General features: G+C 51.6%; 1 protein-coding gene across 3 annotated transcripts in view, besides 7 other annotated features; it reads right to left on the bottom strand.

Moving 5' to 3' along the window:
* Positions 1-21,461, bottom strand: part of PACS1 (phosphofurin acidic cluster sorting protein 1) — a 174,473-nt gene that overhangs the window by 3,474 nt on the left and 149,538 nt on the right. For all 3 annotated transcript variants that reach the window (NM_018026.4, XM_011545164.3, XM_011545162.2), the window contains exons 9-21: positions 20,480-20,640; positions 20,024-20,117; positions 13,687-13,767; positions 10,608-10,723; positions 10,331-10,466; positions 8,995-9,099; positions 8,205-8,311; positions 7,332-7,486; positions 7,029-7,139; positions 5,868-5,970; positions 5,331-5,373; positions 2,425-2,467; positions 1,994-2,129 (exon numbers count right to left, since the gene is read on the bottom strand). In NM_018026.4, the coding sequence (NP_060496.2) occupies positions 1,994-2,129; positions 2,425-2,467; positions 5,331-5,373; positions 5,868-5,970; positions 7,029-7,139; positions 7,332-7,486; positions 8,205-8,311; positions 8,995-9,099; positions 10,331-10,466; positions 10,608-10,723; positions 13,687-13,767; positions 20,024-20,117; positions 20,480-20,640 (1,391 nt within the window). The remainder of the gene's footprint in view (positions 1-1,993; positions 2,130-2,424; positions 2,468-5,330; positions 5,374-5,867; positions 5,971-7,028; positions 7,140-7,331; positions 7,487-8,204; positions 8,312-8,994; positions 9,100-10,330; positions 10,467-10,607; positions 10,724-13,686; positions 13,768-20,023; positions 20,118-20,479; positions 20,641-21,461) is intronic.
* Positions 1,552-2,063: an enhancer, noted in NCBI's record as "H3K4me1 hESC enhancer chr11:66006679-66007190 (GRCh37/hg19 assembly coordinates)". NCBI's record gives its function as "activates a minimal SCP1, AML or CMV promoter by ChIP-STARR-seq in primed H9 embryonic stem cells {active_cell/tissue: H9 hESC(primed)}" and the evidence as "EXISTENCE:reporter gene assay evidence [ECO:0000049][PMID:30033119]".
* Positions 2,064-2,575: an enhancer, noted in NCBI's record as "H3K4me1 hESC enhancer chr11:66006167-66006678 (GRCh37/hg19 assembly coordinates)". NCBI's record gives its function as "activates a minimal SCP1, AML or CMV promoter by ChIP-STARR-seq in primed H9 embryonic stem cells {active_cell/tissue: H9 hESC(primed)}" and the evidence as "EXISTENCE:reporter gene assay evidence [ECO:0000049][PMID:30033119]".
* Positions 17,495-17,995: an enhancer, noted in NCBI's record as "H3K4me1 hESC enhancer chr11:65990747-65991247 (GRCh37/hg19 assembly coordinates)". NCBI's record gives its function as "activates a minimal SCP1, AML or CMV promoter by ChIP-STARR-seq in naive H9 embryonic stem cells {active_cell/tissue: H9 hESC(naive)}" and the evidence as "EXISTENCE:reporter gene assay evidence [ECO:0000049][PMID:30033119]".
* Positions 17,996-18,496: an enhancer, noted in NCBI's record as "H3K4me1 hESC enhancer chr11:65990246-65990746 (GRCh37/hg19 assembly coordinates)". NCBI's record gives its function as "activates a minimal SCP1, AML or CMV promoter by ChIP-STARR-seq in naive H9 embryonic stem cells {active_cell/tissue: H9 hESC(naive)}" and the evidence as "EXISTENCE:reporter gene assay evidence [ECO:0000049][PMID:30033119]".
* Positions 17,996-18,541: a biological region, named in NCBI's record as "H3K4me1 hESC enhancer GRCh37_chr11:65990246-65990746".
* Positions 18,302-18,541: an enhancer, noted in NCBI's record as "active region_5037". NCBI's record gives its function as "activates an Ori minimal core promoter by ATAC-STARR-seq in GM12878 lymphoblastoid cells {active_cell/tissue: GM12878}" and the evidence as "EXISTENCE:reporter gene assay evidence [ECO:0000049][PMID:35858748]".
* Positions 18,602-18,701: an enhancer, noted in NCBI's record as "active region_5036". NCBI's record gives its function as "activates an Ori minimal core promoter by ATAC-STARR-seq in GM12878 lymphoblastoid cells {active_cell/tissue: GM12878}" and the evidence as "EXISTENCE:reporter gene assay evidence [ECO:0000049][PMID:35858748]".

Below are 21,461 nucleotides of genomic sequence, written 5' to 3'. Positions count from 1 at the left end.
AGGAGAATCAGGCTGATCTGAGAACAAAGCTGGGGAGAATAAAGGCCCAAGTCACGAAAAGGAAACCAAATAAAATCTTCACAGGATGACAAGGGCAGCAGAGAAGGAAGCTTTATGAAGGAAGAAAGTGTGTGTGTACATAAGTGCATGCGTGCACACACATATACACACATATAACACACACACACACACATACACGCCCAGCAGGCAAAGCCTGGGCCAAACTGAGCCTCGAGCTGGAGAGAAGGCCTGAGCCCGGCAGAAGCCCCTGCGGGCGGCTCCAGTGCAGCCTCAGGACAGCAGCTGGTGCCACCCGACCTGCAGCTTTCTCCTTTTCATGGCACTCTTAGCTCAGCGATAATTTTAGCTCCCGGGAGAAGGGCTGGTATGTCTTGAAAGGAGGTGTCAGACACAATAGGTACACAGGCTAGGAAAGTCATCTGACTTTTCTCTTTCTGCCTCATTTTGGAGGTTCCATTAAAAAACAAGATTAACTTGGAAGGGAAAGGAGGTAGAGGAAAGGGTTGGTGCCAAGGCTCCCCAAACCCATGCTGGACAGAAACCCTTCCGCTGTGGGGTGAGATGAGAGAAAACGCCTCCAGGAGGCCAGGAACCTGAGGTCCCCAGGGCAGAACTTGGCTGCGTGGGTACTTCCTCCTTTCCTCTACTGTTCCCTCCAGAAGACCCTGAAGGGAAGTGCCCCGAGGAGCAGAGGCTGAGGGAGACCAGGGACTGGGATTCTAGCTCCGGGGCAGGCTTCGTGCCACCCAACACATTACTAGCACTTTGGGGGAAGCCACCGGCCAATGCCATCCTCGCTGTTGCTACAAGGAAAGGGAAGAGGCGAAGGCGGAAGGCAGCGAAATGGGGGAAGGGAAGGCAGGCTGCTCCTTCCCAGCGCTGACCACGCCTGCTCTCCTCACCTCGGCCTTCTTGTCAGGAGCCCACCCCTCCACCCTCTCTCTGCCCCCTGCTGCTGGACCCTTGATCTAAACTGTAGATACTTGAGATCCTAAAGACACGGCCTCCTGCTATATCACTGCTTCCAGTGGTCTCAGAGATTCAGCCTGAACCCGAGCTCCGCCGCTTGCTCCCGCGCCGGCTCCAGCTCTAGCGCCTCAGCAGGGCTGCCTCACTGTGCCAGGCACTGACACGCATGTTCTTTTTCTCTTTTTTAGAGACGTGGATTGTTTCCTTTAGAGAGGCCCTCTGACTGTCACCAAAGGAGACAATCCACGTCCCTAAAAAAGAAGAAAAAAGGAAGACACTAGAAAGAACAGCCCAATCCACGTCACTACGTGGCCCAGGCCTAGCTTTGAACTCCTGGGCTCAAGCGATCCTCCGGCCTTGGCCTCCGGAGTGGCTGGAACTACAGGATGAGGCCTGGTTTCCACGTTCTTATGTAACCTGCTCCACAGTCCTGCAAGGTGGCCACTTCACCTCTTTTCATTAGATGAAATTGAAGTTCAGTAACTTGTCTAAGCTAAGGCAGTGCAGAGACAAGACAGAACCACTCAAACCCACGTGTGTTTTATTTCCCAAGTGCCATGCTCTTTCTTGCACCTGGGAGGTCCCATAACAACACCTGGGAGGTCCCATAACAAGACACTTGCACAGCACTTCACAGGCCTCTGCCAACATTGTCTCATTCAACCCAATACTGTGAAACAGGGCAGAAAGTGTCCTCCCATGACCAGGCCGGCTAGTGATATGTCTCTGAATTCTAACTTTAGTGTTTTGGGTTTTTTTTTGAGAGACAGGGTCTTGCTGTCACACAGGCTACAGTGCAGTGGCGCAGTCATGGCTCACTGCAGCCTCAAATTCCTGGGCTCAAGCAATCCTCCTGCCTCAGCCTGAGTAGCTAGGACCACAGGTGTGCACTACCACGCCCGGCTTCCTGTGGCTACCTTCTAAGCCCATGCGCCTGTCACTGGAATCAGCCGGGTGGGCCTGATGGAGGGCATGGCAGGACAGGTACGGGCAGGAGCCTTACCCCACGATGGCCAGGGCGCTGCTCATAGATGGGGAGGAGGGAGGGGTGGCCGTGGCGTCTCGGCTCAGGCCCGAGCTGGAGGGTGGTGATGTGGAGGGCACAGTAAGGCTGACCACAGGAGAATCGTCCCCATCGCCTGTCAGGGGACAAACGACAAACACAGTTGGCCAGAGGAAGCTATCTCTGACTTGGTGGTGGCAAGGAGCCGGGGTTCCTCCCATCCTGTGGCCTGCTTTCCTCCTTTGGCCCCAGGCTCCTTCCACCTCCCCCAGCCACCACCGCAGCAGGGGAGTGAGGGCGCCCATAGGCTTCCTGCTCAAGCTCTGACTTCCCTCAGGGCATCCAGAGCTTAACTTCTGGCCTGCTGGACTAGAGGGAAGACAGGGAGGGCACCAGCCTCACTCCACAGAACAAGGGAGCCCCAGCCTCACCTGCTGTGGAGGGAGAGTCTTCAACCAGACCCACCTTCACCACCTGCAAGGAGAGAAGAGGCACTCATTAGATCCTCCTGTTAAAGCAGGCATGTTCTGATCCAACCAGAAACACATTGGTGGCACAAGAGCCATCACTACACATTATTTTATTGCCGACTTTAAAATCTTTGCAAATCTGGGCTGGGCGTGGTGGCTTATGCCTGTAATCCCAGCACTTTGGGAGGCTGAGATAGGAGAATCGCTTGAACCTGAGAGGCGGAGGTTTCAGTGAGCTGAGATGGCGCCACTGCACTCCAGCCTGGGCGACAGAGCGAGACTCCATCTCAAAATAAATAAATACATCAAATAAATAAGTAAATAAAAAAATCTTTGCAAATCTGGAGCAGCCCAGCTGTAGAAACAAACAAACAAAAAACAACAAAACCTAGTTGCAACAATGAGATGGGGCATGCGAGACTTTGCAGCTCTTCTCTGGGGATAAAGGGCTGAAGGCAGGAATCACTGTGATGTCCTGATGTTGTTTCTCTAAGGTCCTGTGGGCAGAGGGCCTAGGAAGATGGCTCTGTCTCTGCCAGGTGGGAGAGTCTAAAGCCAAGTGGACGTGCTAAGGTGTGGACACCAGCCTTCTCCTCTCTGGTCTTCCTGGAATCTGGAAGTGTACTGAATGGGGGTGGGGGGGTTCTTTAGGAATTTTCAATTCTCCATAGAGAATTCTGGAAAGGACAGCCTGGGCCCTCCAGTGGCTAGAAAAGAACACAGCCACAGACTAGGTGAGCATCCAGGCTGTGGTCTGAAGTGACAGGTAAAGTCCTGGGCCCTATCACCTGGGCCCAGGCCTAGGCAAAGAGGCAGCTGGGCTGGGAGTCCAGAGGGCTGGACCCTGATGGGGCGAAATCTACCGCACAGGCCTGCAGGTGGTTGCCTGGAGGCTGCCGCGACAGCAAGGCTGTGTTTGCTGAAGTCTGTCCCGATTCTCTATGCGCCCTTCTTTTGATTCCCAGAGAGGAACAAATTGCCACTCTGGGGCTTCCTGGATACAACTCCCCTTCTCTCCTTGTTTGCCTGGCATTTGGTGAGGTTGCTAGCTCTTTTGGTTTTTAATTTGTTTTAAATTTGTTATCTCTCTGTCTCTCTCGGTTGCGAGGCCTGAGTGAGCAGCAACTCACAGCTCCACGAAGATGTGTCAAACCACCAGCCACAGCTATGGGCCATGGTCTTGGGGCCTGTAATGTGGCTATGGGAGCAGCCCAGGGGCTAACCGGGGACTGGCTAGACTGCAGGACAGGAGGCTCTGCAAGGCACGAGAAAGGGCTGCTGGATTTCCCCAGCTCAGGTATCTCCTGAGATCACTCAAGACACCCACATCTTGGATGCGCAGAAAGCAGGGAGAGCAGGGAGCTAGGCCCCCTCATCCACATGAGCCCCTCCCTGTCTAGAAGCTACGAGGGAGCCTCAAGGAAATTACAAAAAAAGATACAAGCTGGTGGGGCATGGTGGCTCACGCCTGTAATCCCAGCACTTTGGGAGGCTGAGGCAGGTGGATCTCCTGAGTCCAAGAGTTTGAGACCAGCCTGGGCACCATGGCGAAATGCCATCTCAGCAGAAAAATACAAAAATTAGCCGGGCATGCCGTGCACAGGGGCTCAAGCCTGTAATCCCAGCACTTTGGGAGGCCAAGGCAGCCGGATCACGAGGTCAAGAGATCGAGACCATCCTGGCCAACATGGTGAAACCCCGTCTCTACTAAAAATACAAAAATTAGCTGGGTGTGGTGGCACGTGCCTGTAATCCCAGCTACTCGGGAGGCTGAGGCAGGAGAATCACTTGAACCTGGGAGGCGGAGGTTGCAGTGAGTCGAGATCGCGCCACTGCACTCCCGCCTGGCAACAGAGTGAGACTCTGTCTCAAAAAAAAATTAGCCAGGCGTGGTGGCATGTACCTATGGTCCCAGCTACTCAGGAGGCTGAGGCAGGAGGATCACTTGAACCCAGGAGGCAGAGGTTGCAGTGAGCTGAGATTGTGCCATTGCACTCCAGCATGGGCAACAGAGTCAGACTCCATCTCATAAAAAAAAAAAATAATAAAAAAAGATAGAAGCTGGTTTCGAAGGGAAATGTAAAGCTCTTTTAAGTGGAAATCGGAGTTTTCAGTCCTGCTCCGGTGCCATGCTCTGGCCTCTGGCAGGACTGCACAGCTCCCCCGGACCCCTCCCTAGGTCAGGCTGAGCCTGTGGCCCAGCTGCTGATGAACAGACAGCCGGCAATGCACCTGCCATGAGACATCCACGGGGTTCTTCCTTGACTTTCAAAGTTTACTAGTATAGAGATTTCTCCTTGGTTAAATAGAAAAGGAAAGAAGAAAGCCTTCCTCTCAGTGGCCTATCCAACCATGAAGACAGAAGTATCTGTTTTCAGACTTTTCTGAATGCTGCCTTCCACTACTACCAAAGCAGCTCCCTTTCCCGTGAGCCACGTCTGGACATCACTCCCCGGGTGAAGGCAGCGAGGTCAGGGCCTGGTGTAATAAACAGGAGACATCAGTGATGGACCCAGGAACAGTTCGTGATTTGGAAAAGGCGGACACTAAAAGGGACAGCCCAATCCATGTCCGGCCCAGGGTTTCTCCACCTCTGCACTACTGACACTTGGGGCCAAGCCATTCTCTGCTGCGGGACCTCCTGTGCACTGGAGGATGACCAGCTGCATCCCTGGCCTCCACCCACTGGGTACCCCCCGTATAACAACCAAACACGTCTCCAGACACTGCCAGGTAGTCCCTGGAGGCAAAATCTCCAGTGTCTGGAGAACCACTGTTCTAGATGAATCTTTTGTTTTCCTGTGTAAGGGGGAACAGGAAGACCAGGAGAACGGGTGGGGTGCCAAGCAGAGGGAGTCAGTACTCACGCCAATGAAGGGAATAAACTTCTGATAGGAGTCTTCATCAGGGCTGTTGGGAGACACAGGAGAGCTTCATAGTTAGTAGGAGAGACAGGGAGGAGTGCTGGGGAATTGGCCTTTCCTATCTCACTGTGGCTGCAGCAGAGTCCAGGATGCTGGGCTGCCTCTGCCCATCACATCCTGGGGTGGCATGGGGAAGGTCTGGGACTTGCTGTGCATGTGGAGCTCACAAAATGAGGGCAAATGACCTGATCATGCAAGCTACGCTCCCTGCTTCCCACGTCTGAGTTCCAGCTATGAGGATGGGCTGCTTTATACTGAAGGGCAGGAAAGGAAACTGATGAACTCAGGCTCCTATGGGTGGGAGGCCTTGGGCAAGGAAGGAGTGCTGGGGAGGTGGTGGTAAAAACCACTCATATCCTTTTGGGTTCCTATGAAGGAATATAGCATGTGGAGAAGGAAAATGTGAGAAAGCAAGGAAGACTCAAGATTCCTCTAACCCACCCAACCTATTTTTAAGAAACCCCTCAAAGTCAAACTTACAACTTATGCCGGCAAGTCAGCATGGCTTCGGCCACGGGAAGCTGGTGTGTCGTGGCTGCCCCGTTGACGTACTGCATCACCCGCCCTGCCACGTCCAGTTGCTCTGCAGAAAAGCCAAGAGATCACTAACTGCCTACTGACTTCAGCTGGCAAACCTGCAGACCCTCTCGGAGAGGGATCCCTTCCTGAGACCCGTCAGACTCTAGGAGTTGAGTGAAGGATGGGGCTCTACGGTCCTTCTGGTTTGAAGGAATCATGAGCCCAAGGATGGTCCTCTCCCTTCCAATCTTTGCAGTTCCTCAAAGCCCTGCTCTTTCTTGGGCCACGCACACCCTTCTTCTCATGTCCACTTGCTCCTGCCTGTCCTTGCACATACCCATCCGGTGGCCTGGAGGAGCCTCACCCCACAGACTTTTGCCATCACCTCCTTCTCAGTTGCGCCAGGCCCTCACTACCTCTCAGCCTGGAAGAGCTCAACCTCTTTCTGATCCCTGCCACCTTTATTTTTTTATTTTTATTTTATTTTACTTTTGAGACGGAGTTTCACTCTGCTGCCCCAGCTGGAGTGCAGTGGCATGATCACACTGCAGCCTCAACCTTCTGGTCTCAAGCAATTCTCCCACCTCAGCCTCCCGAGTAGCTGGGACTACAGGTGCACACCAACATACCCAGCTAATTTTTGTATTTTTGTAGAGACAGGGTCTTGCTATGTTGCCCAGGCTGGTCTTGAACTCCTGGGTTCAAGTGATCCACCGTGCCCTTGACCTCTGCCACCTTTATTTGATATTCAAGAAAGCACCTGGTTGGTGGGGTGCTATTCATTTATCAAGTGACTGCTTTGTCACTTGACTGCTATTCTCTGCTCCTTGTATTTCATCTCTACAACTAGAGACGCCCTGGCCACTATGCCAGCATGGCCCTTGTTCCTTCCAGATGAACAGGAGCAGAGCAAATAGCAGAGGATGAAAACTGGCAGAGTGGAGGGGCTGTGCACAGTGAGCCTCCGCTTAATAAACACTTATGGAAAAATGAATGGACAGAGTGACCGGGAAGGTGAGAGCTGCAGGGAGGAAAGCAGCATGACCTCAGCCTCCTTCTGCAGCCAGGCTGGCACCTGTGGACCCCGGGGGTGGGAGTAAGCTCCTTACACGGGGCCATTACCTGACACTGGTGGCTCCGAGCGACTGAACAGATCTCTCCAACCAGAATCCAGGAAGGAACTACTGTATTTACTGTCGACTGACCCCAAGTATTTGGCCACAGGGTGAGAACCTGGTAGATGGAAAACCAGAGGTGGTGAATTCGTCAGGAGATGAGACAGTGTGGGAGCAGCTGTCCCTGGCCACGGCCTTGGTCTCCTTGACTGTCCCTTCCTAGGCCCCAACCCCACCGTCCTGTTCCAGATGAGGCATCTGTCTATGGAACCCTCATGCCCGACGCCCTCCTGGTGCCTCCCGTCTTTACCGAGGGGGATGATGAGGAAGCGCATGTAGCCAAGCCAGTCGGAGGTCTTGTTGGCCAGGGACTTGACAAAGAACCTGAGGATGGAGCTCAGGTAGCTCTGGCCTCCCACAGCAGCCACCTTCACTGGCCTCGGCATGGAAGAGTTGCAGTTGCAGCTGGGGAGGAAGGGGAGCGTCATAGCAGTGCTCAGGGGTGCCAGGATCCTGCCCGGGGGAGGCCCAGAGCTGACTTTCTGTGATCTCAACAACCCACAGGGGAAAAGCAAACCAATCCACAAAATAAAACAGAGAGGATCATACAGGGAATAAGCCACAGTGCTTTCACAACCAAGAGAAAAATCCAGGGTCAGAGGGCATTGCCCATGAAGCAGACGGAACAGCTGAGGCTAACGTAGGACTCGGCAGTGTGCCTGGGATGCCCGCAGGGTGTGTGCCCCCAGGCCTGGAATCCATAGTTCTCTTTCACAAGGGCAAGGGACTTGGGCCTTTTAAGAAGGCCCTGAGGGTAGGGGAAGCACTGACTCCTGAGTGTCTAGCAGCATGTTGCAGATGGAAGGAATAAAAGATCTTTTTAAAACCAGTGTGTCCTCTCCTTCATCATGGGTTTAAGAGGATAAAGCAAGTCAAGGCATGGCGGGGGTCCAGGCAGGGAGGCAGGGAGCACAGGAATTGATATTTCCACCCCCGATCCTCTGGGGTCTGCCGGGGCCTCAAGCCCTACAGCCTGCTGCCGCCACCCCCCTAAACATACGCCCCTCTGCAAATTCTTGGTCTGATGAGGCCAGGAGGGTCTATCATTGCTTAGAAGTCAGGGTTGGAAGATGAGGTCAGAGGGAATCTCTAAGGGCAGGAGAAGGGAGGCCAGAGCCCTTACTAGCGCTGGATCCGGGTGAGCAGGGCGGACAGCACGGCCTGGACCTCCACGGTGGAGCAGGTGCACACCACAGGCTTCCGCTGGTCCTGGAGCAGCTCAGCCACATACTGGGATAGGGAGGGAGGAGAGCAGGGACACAGGTGAGAACACATCACTCCTTCACAAGGGCCAAGAGGCAAGTGAGACCCAGACCGAGCTGCAGGGCCCCTGTCCTCTGCAGTTCAGACCGAAGCTGGGCAAAGGCAGCCAGGTCTCCGGACTGCCAGTAAGGAGGGGGTGGGGCCGACCCACGAGACACGCAGAGTGTGAGAGATGGGAAGCCTTAGGGGGTTTCACATGCTAGGACACTCCAGGTGTCCCCGGCACCAGTGTCTAAGCCAGGTGGACAGCGGTGAGGGAGCAGGCAGGGATGCTCTGCCTTGCTGACCTGCCTTCATGGGGCAGCCCTGGAGGTTACAGCCGGGTGCTTCTCTACAGGCCTCCGTTCCACTATGCTGCCTGACGCATGTGGCGCCCTGGAGGAATTACTGTTGCTTTTTGTTTGTTTGTTTTTTAACGTATGAGGAAGCTGAGGTAGAGCAAACTTAGTGATTTAAGATCCCACAAGTTGGATAATGACAGAAGTTGGACTAGAACTCAGAGTTCTGGGCTCAGTTCAGAGCAGGTGGGGGCTGATGGAGGGGTGAGTTCCCCACCTCCCCACGCAATAGTATGGAGGCCACACTGACAATGCAACCGGGCATTGCCTGCCCTCCAGGACCCCACATGGCCTCGCAGTTTCAGCACTTACCTGGCCCTGCCAGTCAGTGGTGTTCACCAGAATGACATTTTCTGGGAGGGCTGCATCTGACACCAGGATCTGATTGAGCTGGTCATACACCACCTTTCTTGGAATCTGCAGGAACAAAAGAAAGTGTCTCTTGTTAGGGAGTCCCTGGGGAGCCTGAGGACAGGGCTGCTGGACTGGTGCATGGGGAGTCTCTGGAGCAGGGGTGTTAGAGAGAACAGATATCAGGACTTTGGGAGGGAGACTCAGTCTCCCACTGGCCAGACCACGATGGAAAGGAGGAGAAAGAAGCAGCAAAGCGAGTCCTTAGAGGACACATGGAGATGAGGAACAAAGCCACAGCGGTTGTCCTGCCAGGGCAGGTGGAGAGGATGGAGGTGCAGCAAGCCTCGCGGATGGGAAACGGTGTGGGTGGCAGGAGGGGCAGCAGCGTAAGAACCAGGAAGGGAGAGGCAGAGGGCGGCCAGCAGGTGCTCAGAGAAACAGAAACGAGGGCAGTGGGGAGAGAAATAATGAGAGTGGCAATGAGTGCTGTGTGGGTACCTGCTGTCTGAGGGAACAAAAGGTATTTCAGGAACAGTGATTAACAAGAAGGACAATACCTCACCCCAGGCACTGGGCTATTCTAGTCTCAAGTTCATTTTCAGCCATGTAATAGCATGGAGCTCAGGAGGCCACACTGACAATGCACTTGGTAAGTTATCAGGGGAATGAACAGGCTGGCTGTTTAACCCTAGCAGAACTGGAACTGTGTAAGGTGTGCCGGGAAAATCCCTGTCCCAGATCTCTGACACCACAGGCCTTCAAAAGGAGAACACGATTCCTGAGGCCCAGTTCTTCTGACTTCTTCTCCAGCCCACTCTCGGGTCCTTCCATTGAAACAGTTTAATATTGTTGGCTTCCCGGCTTGAAAGCACGATGACCGCCCACAGCAATACTCAGGTTGGGAGCTCGGGTCAGGATGTCCCATGAGATCCAGAGGCTGCTGTCCTCTGCAACAGTGGATTCACGGCACAATCTCCAGACTGACGTCTGATGGAGGCAGAGACACCGGTGGTGTGGAATCGACACTCGCAGCCGTGGCAGGCCACGACCACACAGCGTTTTTGGCTCCCCTGCCTGCGCCCTAGAGGTCAGCGTGGAAGCCAGTTCCACACTGGCAGTAAGCAAGGAATATAGGAGACCTCTCTAATTTAGTCTTTCTTCAAGAGTTTTTGTTCAGAGCATTTCCAAGTATTCCTCTTCTCTCCAACTAACTGTCCAAGGAAGCCAACAAAACAGAGCCTGAAGTTCAGGGAATCTCAGAGGGTCCTGGTGTTTTGGGGGCACCCAGAAGTACCTGCGTGCTGTGGCCCAGATCTGGGGAGCGCTCGCTGTCGGAACTGTTGGTCCTCTCACTTAGGGGCTTGGAGAGCTGCCGCTCCTTCAGGGGCGTGCTCCTCTTCTGCCGGGGTGTGTGCACCCCCTCCACTTTGCTGCCAGGGAGGTGGAAAAAGGCTGGTGAAATAGCCCCTCCAACCCCAAAGCTGCTGCCAGCCCCGCTTTCCCTCAGCCCTGAAGCCCATGCTAAGCACAGCTGCAGGCTGTACCCCCTGCTTCCTTTCCATCTGCAGTACCTGGGGGAGGCAGAGCCCTGGAGATCCGTTTTACTGGACTTCATGGGAGTTTTGACTTTCTCCGGCACAACCAGACTCGTGCTGGCATCTCCAAACATGTCCTGGTCAGTGATTTCCTACCATGGAGGAGAGGAAACAGTGAAGATGACCTCCCACTCAGTGACCACCCAGGAGCCTCCTTGGACTGGCCAGGCCCCATCACCATCCTGAAGAGAGAGTTACTCATTTTCTTTTCCTGAAAGCAAGTGGTCCTAAAGCTCCTGCCTCAGCCGAAGGAAAATCGCCACTGTTCACGGGTGACTGAGTACACCCCGTGTGGGCACCATATGCTGCAATCCAGTAAATATCCAGTTACAAACGACCTGCTGGCACAAGAAGAGTGGACTGATGATCTGCTGTCTCCAGGAGTGAAGAGGGGACCCCTAGATGCATCTCCCTGGTGCCCTGACCGGACCTTATCTGGTCTAGGAGAGCAGGGAGGGCCATAGCCCCATTCCTTTTTTTTTTTTCTTTTTTTTTTTTTTTTTTAGCCCCATTCCTTACCTTGGCCAAAGCCACCTGCATCTCCGTTGAGATTCTCCCTTCCTTCCTCATCCCCAAGCCACTGCTGTGTGTCCCGCTCTGGCCACACTCTCACATCCACCCTCTCTATCCCACCTTCTGAGCCCAGGCCTTTGCCTTTCCTCAGATCACTTTTTTTTTTTTTGGGATGGACTTTCGCTCTTATTGCCTAGGTTGGAGCGCAGTGGCACAATCTTGGCGCAACCTTGGCTCACCGCAACCTCCGCCTCCCAAGTTCAAGCAATTCTCCTGCTTCAGCCTCCCGACTAGCTGGGATTACAAGCATGTGCCATCATGCCTGGCTAATTTTGTATTTCTTTTTTAGTAGAGACGGGGTTTCTCCATGTTGGTCAGGCAGGTCTCGAATTCCTGACATCCTTTTTTATTTATTTTATTTACTTATTTTATTTATTTATTTATTTTTGAGACGGAGTCTTGCTCTGTCGCCCAAGCTGGAGTGCAGTGGCGCGATCTCGGCTCACTGCAAGCTCTGCCTCCTGGGTTCATGCCATTCTCCTGCCTCAGCCTCCCGAGTTGCTGGGACTACAGGCGCCCACCACCACGCCCGGCTTATTTTTAGTAGAGACGTGTTAGCCAGGATGGTCTCGATCTCCTGACCTCGTGATCCGCCCGCCTCGGCCTCCCAAAGTGCTGGGATTACAGGCATGAACCACCGCCCCCAGCCTAATTCCTGACATCCTTTTAAATTTTTTTTAGACAGGGTCTTGCTCTCTTGCACAGCCTGGAGTGCAGTGGCATGGTCTCAGCTCACTGCAGCCTTGAACTCCTGGGCTCAAGTGGTTATCTTACCTCAGCCTTCCAAGTACAGGTGCATGTCAGCATGCCTGGCTAATTTTTTTGTATTACTATTTTTTTTTTTTTTTTTTTTTTGTAGAGACGGGTTTTTCCATGTTGCCCGGGCTGGTCTTGAATCCCCAGGCTCAAACAATGTGCCTGCCTCAGCCTCCCAAAAGTACTGGGATTACAGGTGTGAGCCACCACACCTGGCCAAGTCTGATTCTTTAGTGGGGCCTCTGAGGCCCACCATGACCCAGCCTGGGCCACCTTTCTAAATTAACCTCCCGTGCCTCCTCCCTGGGCCCACTACCTCCCTAATGATCCAGCCCTCAGGGAGGACTCTGCTACCAATACAGGCCGCACACCTGCCTACTTCCCTGCCTCTGCCTGGTCTTTATGTTTTCAAAATGTTTACTGAGGGCATAACTTCTATAAAGTAAGAAGCACAAATCTAGAATAGTCAACTTGAATTTTTATGCAAATATGCCCCCAGGTGACCATTAACCAGATCAAGACAGAACGTTCCAGCATTCCTGAGGCCTCCCGATGCCCCTCCCTCTCCCCTGGGTAACAGGTATGCTGACGTCACCCTCATGGATTAGTTTTGCCTGTTTGTGAGTTTCACAGAACTGGAATCCTATGGCGTGCATTTTTTGGCATTCGGCTTCTTTTTACTCACTCAACATTAAATTGCTGAGATTTGGCCAATCACTGAAGAGTTTTAATCAGGAAGTGACACAATTGGAATTTAATTTTGAAAAGGCCACACTGTACTTGCCACGTGCAGTACGGACTACAGTGGGGCCACGGTGGAAGTAGGATTATTCAGATTACTGGTGAACTAGAAAATGTAAGTTAGGGTAGTGAGTTTCAAATTAATCTTGAATCAAGCCTAAATACATAAGATCTTTAATGTAGTCTTATTTACTATAGAAAACATAAGGCTAAAATAATTCTTTCACAGATTCTAGTCAACTCCCAGCAGGTCCCACCGTGAGGCTCATCCCTAGATGGCATTCTGTAAAGTTCTCTGCTCCTTCCCCACAAGGGTCCTGCCTCTGGTCCCACGGGATGAACTTTGACGTAACCTGCAAAGCCCAGCTCAGATGTCGCTTCTCCAGTTTGCATCCCCTGTACCTCCCTGGGCCGGAGGTACAGGGGATGCAAACTGTGGCTCACTCATGTTTGCATCTTCAGTGCCCAGCACAAGCAGGGGCACAGTAAATGTTTGTGCAATTCGACCTGTAAAAAAACTGGGCATCCCAACCAACTCAATTCCACTTCACTGGGGCTTAGGCCTGCACTCCTGGGCAGCTCCAGCACCTCTTAGAACACGGACCAGTACCAGTCAGAGACTGAATGTTGTGGGTTGCCTGGCCACGGAAACAGCAACATCCAATGAGGAAGGGATGATTTTCCAGGGAGAACGCTGGTGACAGATGGTGAGAAGTTTCCCCAGCTAGCATTTGGTCAGCTCTTATTAAAGGGCAGAATGAGGACATTTCTGGTATACTAAGTTTGAGAGCAACCTGGTGTCTACACCAGGTAGTAGGTTGCATTCCACGGGTAAGGATTTCAGGAGAAAGAGAGTGCAGGACATTCATAAGCCTGCAGATTTAGGTGAAATTTCTATGGTGGTCCTGAGGGTCCTTCTGCCGTTATTTCTAAAGGGACAAACACTATTTGAAACAGCTGAAACAGGAAACTGACCCATACATACCAGAGTGTCTGTTTCAGTCAAGCTGTCATCTTGGTTTTTAATCCAAGTAGATTTAATTTTTTCTAGAGCAGCCAATTCCATCTGCAAAAATTATAAGAATTAGTTATCACTGATCCAAATAACTACCACTTTAATTTGTTTTACTAGGTCCCTATGAAGCTTAAAATACTTTCATTTAATCTCAAACCTCATAAAATCTTCAGGGCTTTTTTCTTATGTGGGCCGGGGAGGCGGGTACATTTCTGTGAAAACCAGGTTTTGGAGGGATCAGTTATCTTTGTCATCAAGTCAATAACACGGAGATTCAGAACCCAGAAATTCTGACTCCACGAGGTGTCACTAGGCAAGAGAAGCTCAAAATTTAGATGGCTTTGCTATTGCATCCATGAAGTCTTTGACCCTGGATCCAGTGAATACACTTGCCCAGGAAGGACATAGAGGGGAGGCCTCCTTTGCTTGCCAGAGAAAGGAGTATGCTAGGTTCAGGTCTTTGATTTTGAGACTAAAGACATCCATGGTAGCCAAATGCTTTTTGCTTGGTGGGAACATCCAGAAAACCCTCTAACAGGATATACTAAGCAGAAAGACACCCAATGTTAAGCCATTTAGGTGTAAATTAATTCTCCATTTGTCCCCAACTCTTATTAGCATTTCTCATAAATATTAAAAATTTCCTTTGCAAATATAGACACATAACCAGATTTTCGTATTTGTTAATATTGCTTCTTGCTGTGCAGACAGCAACTCAAAGTCACCAGCAGTGACGTGTGGGTTGTAGGTCTTAGATGCAGGGAAGGTACTGGCTTTAGTGAATCTTTTTGTTTCTTGTAGGGAACCATAGGAGGCAGAAAAATATAAATGATATCCCACTTCCTCCCAATGACTCAAAGTCCTTTCTCTGAGTCAATCATATAATACTGAGAAGCATCAGGCTAGTAAGTTCAGGGTCACCTAGTAAACTATGGAACAAGGATCACCACAGCAGGCTCCCTATGTCACACTCTAAACCAGGGTTCCTCCACCTTGGCACGATTGACATTTGGGGCTGGCTCATTCTTATTGTGGGGGCCTGTCCTGTGTACTGTGGGATGTCTGGCAGCATCCCTGGCCTCTACTCACTAGGTGCTGGTAGTGGCAACTCTCCACTCCCTCATTTGTGACAAACAAAAATGTCTCCAATCATTGCCATATGTCTGGGAGGCAAAATCATCCCCAGTTGAGAACCCCTGCTCCAGGCCATTTGCAGGACTAACTCAGCATGCCTGAGCCAGACTCTGGGACCCCAGATCTTCAGATGGTTTGGCTTGTGTAATGGCTCACAGCCACAGAACAGGTTGCTTCCAGATTGCAGAGCTAGCTCATTTACACCTTCTCTATATGATCAGCCAATGTTGTTGTTGCTGTTGTTTTTTTGAGACTGAATCTCACTCTATTGCCCAGGCTGGGGTGTAGTGGTGCAATCTTGGCTCACTGCAACCTCTGCCTCCCGGGTTCAAGTGATTTTCCTGCCTCAGCTTCCTGATTAGCTAGGATTACAAGCGTCTGCCACCATGCCTGCCTAATTTTTGTATTTTTGGTAGAGACAGCTTTTACCATGTTGATTGACCAGGCTGGTCTTGAACTCCTGACCTCAAGTGATCCACCTGCCTCAGCCTCCCAAAGTGCTGGGATTACAGGTGTGAGCCACCACGCCCAGCCTCGGCCAACATTAATAGAATCTAGAATCATGGAAAAGCTCTGGTTAGACCTGAGACTAGAGATAATTTCACTCCATTTTCGATCTCAATATGACAAATTAATTAAACGCGTTTTAAAGAGAATGAACTGGGTGATAACACAGGTCTGCTGGGAGGTTTTGAAGTAGCACGCCTTGTTGTTAAGCCCTATGACAGCTACAGCATTGCTTCCATGTCAAAGCTGCAACATTTATTAAGATCTTTATTCCTCCCAGCTTTATTAAGCTATAATTGACAAATAAAAATTGTATATATTTACAGTATACAACATGTTTTGATGTATGGATACACTGTGAAATGATTAAATCAAGGTAATTAGCATATCCATCTCCTGATAATATCTTTAACTTGGATTGGGCTTAGAGGACACCTGCTGGCTATTTACTGGCTCTTCCAGATGTCCCAGACAATCCTCCTGGGGACAAATTCCCAATTTCATCACATTTCTGTTCCTGCTTCTATAAACACTAAAGGGCTTTTTCCCCCAAAAGATGTTGGAACACCAGCAGGACTCCAGCTGTGTCTGACCAAGTGTTTGGCATGGGATATGGATGAGGTATCACTAGAGGTCCCAGAAGTCTGCACCACTGTGCTCATGGACAATGTCAGCTGCTGAAGGGTAAGAGTGTAGGCCCGTGTCAGAGAGAAGGGGGCAAGAGTGGGTAATGTGTAGGCTATCATTTCATGAAGGACTAGGCTCTAATGCCATTATTTATAGTGCTGTGGAAATAGCGACTTAGCAGCAGGCAGTCCTGGCTGGAAGTCTGCATCTGTGGCTGCCCTGACGCACTGTCAGGGCTCATTGTTATCAGCTTGGAGAACCAAATTATGTTGCCATTGTGTGCTCAAGCCTTGGGAAAATTCAACAACTGGAATAATTCGTATCAGGAGAAATTCTTTCTGGTTCTAGCGATAAACTGAATCCTCTAAAATGTGGGGAACAAAAAGCAAGATTAAGAAAAATAAATAAATAACAGTGCTAGGAAACCAGGGAAGAGAGGACACAAGTTGAGGTGGTGCGTGCACACCTGCCTACAGGTGCACAATCTCGTGGTTTTTCCTAATCCATTCAGAAGTTCTCCATTTAAGAGCGCAGTCTGGTTCTGCTGTTCCCAAAGCGCCTTTCATACCAAAGGATTCCAAAGTTTCACACCCACATCCAGACATATGGGGCTCTTCAAAATAGAAATATCAGCACAGAACCAGCAAAGTGAGTCTGAAACGTGGCCAAGGGAACCAGAATTTGAAGGACTCACTAAAAAGACATCTAGATTCTATCAATTTTAGGAGTCCACAACTGAAATGGCACTAAGGAATTATAATAATAAAAGCAATAGTAGTCGGTGAGCAATGAGCAGTGCTCTGTGTGCAGTAAGTCAATCAGGCACACCCCACGCAGCAGTCTGATGTGCATGATCCTGTTCCATCTCCTCACTACCTTGGGAGGCACGAGCTTTAACACGTACCTTGTAGATGAGGAAGCAAAGGCGTGGTAACATGCCCAAGATCACACAGTCAGTGGAGTGGTGGAGTCAAGACTCAAACTCAGAAGCTCTACCCTGTCCCAAATGTGTTTTTGCCCTGACAGAGGCCCTTAGGCCATCATATTATAAAGGCTGACACTCACCTGGCTTTTTTTTTTTTTTTTTTTTTGAGATGGAGTCTTGCTCTGTTACCCAGGCTGGAGTGCAGTGGCGGGATCTTGGCTCAATGCAACCTCTGCTTCCCAGGTTCAAGCAATTCTCTGCCTCAGCCACGCGAGTAGCTGGGATTACAGGTGTGCATCACCATGCCTGGCTAATTTTGTATTTTTAGTAGAAACAGGGTTTTGCCATGTTGGCCAGGCTGGTCTCGAACTCCTGACCTCAAGTGGTCCACCCACCTCGGCCTCCCAAAGTGCTGGGATTACAGGTTTGAGCCACCGTGTCCGCCCTCAACTGGCTTTTGAGCCAAATGGGCTCCTATACCGACACCACAACCCTACAGATGAGGCACCGAGGCTCAGAGTGTCTAAGTAATTTTTTCTGTAAGTTTTATAAGTCAGGTAACTAACATTTATTGAACATCCACAGTGTTAGGTGTTCTGCTTACTGCTTTTGGGGCACTGTCTCAGTTAGTGATTTAGTTACATTTTGTTATATTAGGGCACTTGCTCTACATTCCTAGAACACTAAGAAAGAGTCCTCCCTCAGCCAGCTCCCAGGTATCTTTCTAGAGTCATCCCATATAGTTAAGAGGGAATTTAGCTCTCATGGCCAGGGGTAGGGTTTGCCCAGTAGGGTTTGCCCATGTGGATGCTGTCAATTCAGCAGGGCCATTCAGCAGTTCCATGTGAGGAAATGCATCTCCAAGCCACATCCTAAACACTAATACCAAAGAAAGTGAGGTGGCTGGGTACACACTGCACTCCAGCCTGGGGAGTACAGCGAGACCCTATCTCAAAAAAAAAAAAATAGGCCGGGCACAGCGGCTCAAGCCTCTAATCCCAGCACTTTGGGAAGCTGAGGCGGGCGGATCACCTGAGGTCAGGAGTTTGAGACCAGCCTGGCCAACATGGAGAAACCCCATCTCTACTAAAAATACAAAAATTAGCCGGGTGTGGGTGGCACGTGCCTGCAGTCCCAGCTACTCGGGAGGCTGAGGCAGGAGAATCGCTGGCACCCGGGAGGTGAAAGTTGCAGTGAGCCGAGATCGCTCCATTGCACTCCTGCCTGGGCGATAAGAGCAAAACTCCGACTCCAATAAAAATAAAAAATAAATTTAGAAAGAGTTTTTTTTTTTTTTTTTTTTTTTTGTAAATCGAGGTCTCCTCAGTTCTTGGATCCCCATGAACCCGGCCTGGAACGGCGTCTAGGGTGCAGGGTCTGCAGGGGCAGGGCTGGGGTTTCTCCCAGGGAGGAGTCTGTTTGGGCTGCAGTTTCCCATGCATTGCCTCACTAACGTCACGTGGGGCGCTGTCCTAAGCAGGAAGAACGGTGAGCTGGGAGAGAGCCCCACCTGGTGGCAACAGGCAGAAGGGCAGCCAGGGGATGCCCCAAGAGAAGGTGGTTTCCAGGACAGGCACCTGCCCTTTCAGACCCGTGCTTTTCAGCGGTAGAGGCCTCTCCTGTTTCCTATCATCTCCGCACAATTACTACCGATCTGCAGGGCGAGTTTGGTATTCCCCCTGGTGAACCATGAGTAGGCTTCATCTGCCAGTAAAGCAGGTGAACAGGAGGACTTAAAGGATTTGTTTCTTTGATCTACAGAAAAGACACTGGGCTTTGGAGGGCAAATCCTAAGCTGGGCACTCACATCGCGACAACACTCACTTGCCTTCCATTGTAAACGAAGGAAGAGCAGCTTCCTAGGGCCTGAGGTCACTTCAGGCTCACACCCACCCCTGCCTGTGATCTGCTGAGGGAGCAGGGCCTTTCTAGGAGGGGCGGAGCAAGGCCCAGGTCGTGGCTCCGGCTGCTACAGTACATGCCCCCTTTTCCCCTTGCTCACCAGAAAAAATGGAAACCTCTTGACTAAATTATAAATTTTCTCGGGGCACTGCTCCCCTCTATGGATTCTTGGCCCAATAAAGCCTACTAGGGCCTCCTGAGCACGTCTCAGTGGCTCCCCTCCTCTCCATACCTGCTCCTTCCCCAGTCTGGTGCAGGGCCACTCACTACTGGCCAAACGCCCACTCCATGCCACACTCTCAGCTACCACAGAACAGACACGAAGGGAGAGGTTTTTGTTTGTTGAGATAAGGTCTTGTTCTGTCACCTAGGCTGGAGAGCAGTGGTGCGATCACAGCTCACTGCAGCTTCTGCCTCCTGGGCTCAAGGGATCCTCCTGCCTCAGCCTCCCAAGTAGCTGGGTCTACAGACGTGCACCACCATGCCTGGCTAACTTTTGCATTTTTCGTAGAGATGGGCTTTCACCATGTTGCTCAGGCTGGTTTCGAACTCCTAGGCTCAAGTGATCCACCCGCCCTGGCCTCCCAAAGAGCTGGGATTATAGACATGAGTCACCACGCCCAGCAGAGGGGGAGATTGTATGTATTCTGAGAGGGAAGGCGCTGGGCCATGGCAGAAACAGACCAAAAGGAACAACCCAGCCTGACACAGCAATGACCCCAAAGAGCTAAGCTCCCAGCCAGACTGAGGGGAGGAAAACTGAGGCTGAAACAAGATGAGGCCATTTTCTTTTTTCTTTTCTTTTTTTTTTTTTTTTGAGGGAATCTCGCTCTGTCGCCAGGCTGGAGTGCAGTGGCTCAATCTTGGCTCACTGCAACCTCCGCCTCCCGGCTTCAAGTGATTCTCCTGCCTCATCCTCCTGAGTAGCTGGGACTACAGGTGCACACCATCACGCCCAGGTAATTTTTGTATTTTTAGTAGAGATGGGGTGTCACCATGTTGGCCAGAATGCTCTCAATCTCTTGACCTCATGATCTGCCCGACTCCACCTCCCAAAGTGCCAGGATTACAGTTGTGATCCACCATGCCCAGCCAATGGGGCCACTTTTCTAAGGTCACAACATGAGCCCTGATCAGAGATGCAGAGGGCCAGAGCGTCGAGCCCTGACATGCCACGGTCCCACCCCGCCCCGCAGTCGCGGTTGCGCTCACAGGGCTGGTGGTGTCTTTTCCGAGGCTGCCTTTGCTGTTGAGGCTGCCAATCTCCGTCTGGGAGCTGGACTGCGACATCCCCTCAAAGAAAGGCCTGTGGTGAAGAGCACAGCCAGGGTCAGTGCTGCCAGGGCTCAGAACAGCATGCTGGGAGAGTTGAATGGAGCTGGCATTCAGGGTGGGTCAACAAGCTACAGGTGTCCAGAACGCCCGGTGAGCAGGGAAGTGCAGGGTGAAGAGGAGGGGCGGGTCAGGAGAGGGGGTACTTCCTGAGAGTCCTATAGGACTTCTGTCAGTGAGAGGCAAAACAGTGACCTTCTCCAAGACAGCCAGAGGTTCAGAAAGGATGAAGGACCAAGATTCTCTGGTAATAGAGGGGACAGCGAGGGAGGGGTCAGGAGACTGCTATGGCCAGGAAGGAGAGTCTGGAGGCCAGCTACAGAGAGGGGGGCTCACTTGAGCTTGGGCTTTGGCGTGCTGAGGATGCTTTCTGTCTCCTCCATCTCAGGGCCACTGTCGCTGGGGTTGTACATCTCCAGACTGTCATACAATTCATCCAAGTCCTCTTCCACTTCCCGGATCTGCTCGCGGGACACATGCTCCAGCCCAAAGCCCACCTGCAGGGAAAAAGGAGTCTCTGAATTTAGGGTCATCCCTATTAACAATTTTGGTTGATGAGCAGCTCCTTTCTCCTGGGCTGCCCTTATAGTCCTGCTTAAGGGACATGCCAGAGCTTCACACTGGCTGGAGTAACCTTCACGTCATTTCCATGATCCAGCCTGAGGGCGGGGACATGGTGAGGCCACCTTCCCCCCAGTTCCTGCCACCGCTCCACACTGTGAAGCTGTGCCAGGAGGGACAGCTGAGGAATCCCGAGGCCCATCGCCCATGTGGGTTCTTCCTACCCTCCTTACAGCTCACAGGAAGGCGAAGCAATCGCTCTCAACAATTTTCATCTTTATCCCTCTGTTAGCCCACTGAGAGGCCTGTGGAAACGGGCCCCTCCCGGAGCCCAGGGAAAAGACTGCTTCTCTCTCAGCAGCCCCATTCCTGGTTATTCCAGGGCTGACCAACAAGGACATTTCCACCTCACAAGCTGCTGCTCACTGATGTTCCCGTGGGATAAGAGGGGAAATTAAGTGACAACCGCAGCAGCATCCGCTGGGTCTGTCCCTGTATCGCATGCCAGAGGCTTGCGCATCACCAAGGGTCGGGCGTAGCTGTGCTGCCCTGCGTTGTGTGCATAGCCTCTCTCTCCTCTGCTTGCTTAAGTCCTTCTTAGCCACCCTCTCCCTTAGGGCTCTACCAGGTATGCCACGGGGAGCAGGAATATTAATCCTAGAATCCTGACTCTCAGTGGCAATACAGAGTGTACTCCAGGGATGCTGGGTGAAACCCGGGGAATTCTACTCACCATTAACCTTGGGAGTAAGAGGCC

This window comes from Homo sapiens, chromosome 11 (assembly GCF_000001405.40).
Source record: "Homo sapiens chromosome 11, GRCh38.p14 Primary Assembly".
NCBI lineage: Eukaryota > Metazoa > Chordata > Mammalia > Primates > Hominidae > Homo > Homo sapiens.
The sequence above is the reverse complement of the archived record's forward strand: the minus strand, read 5'-3'. Positions and strand labels throughout refer to the sequence as shown.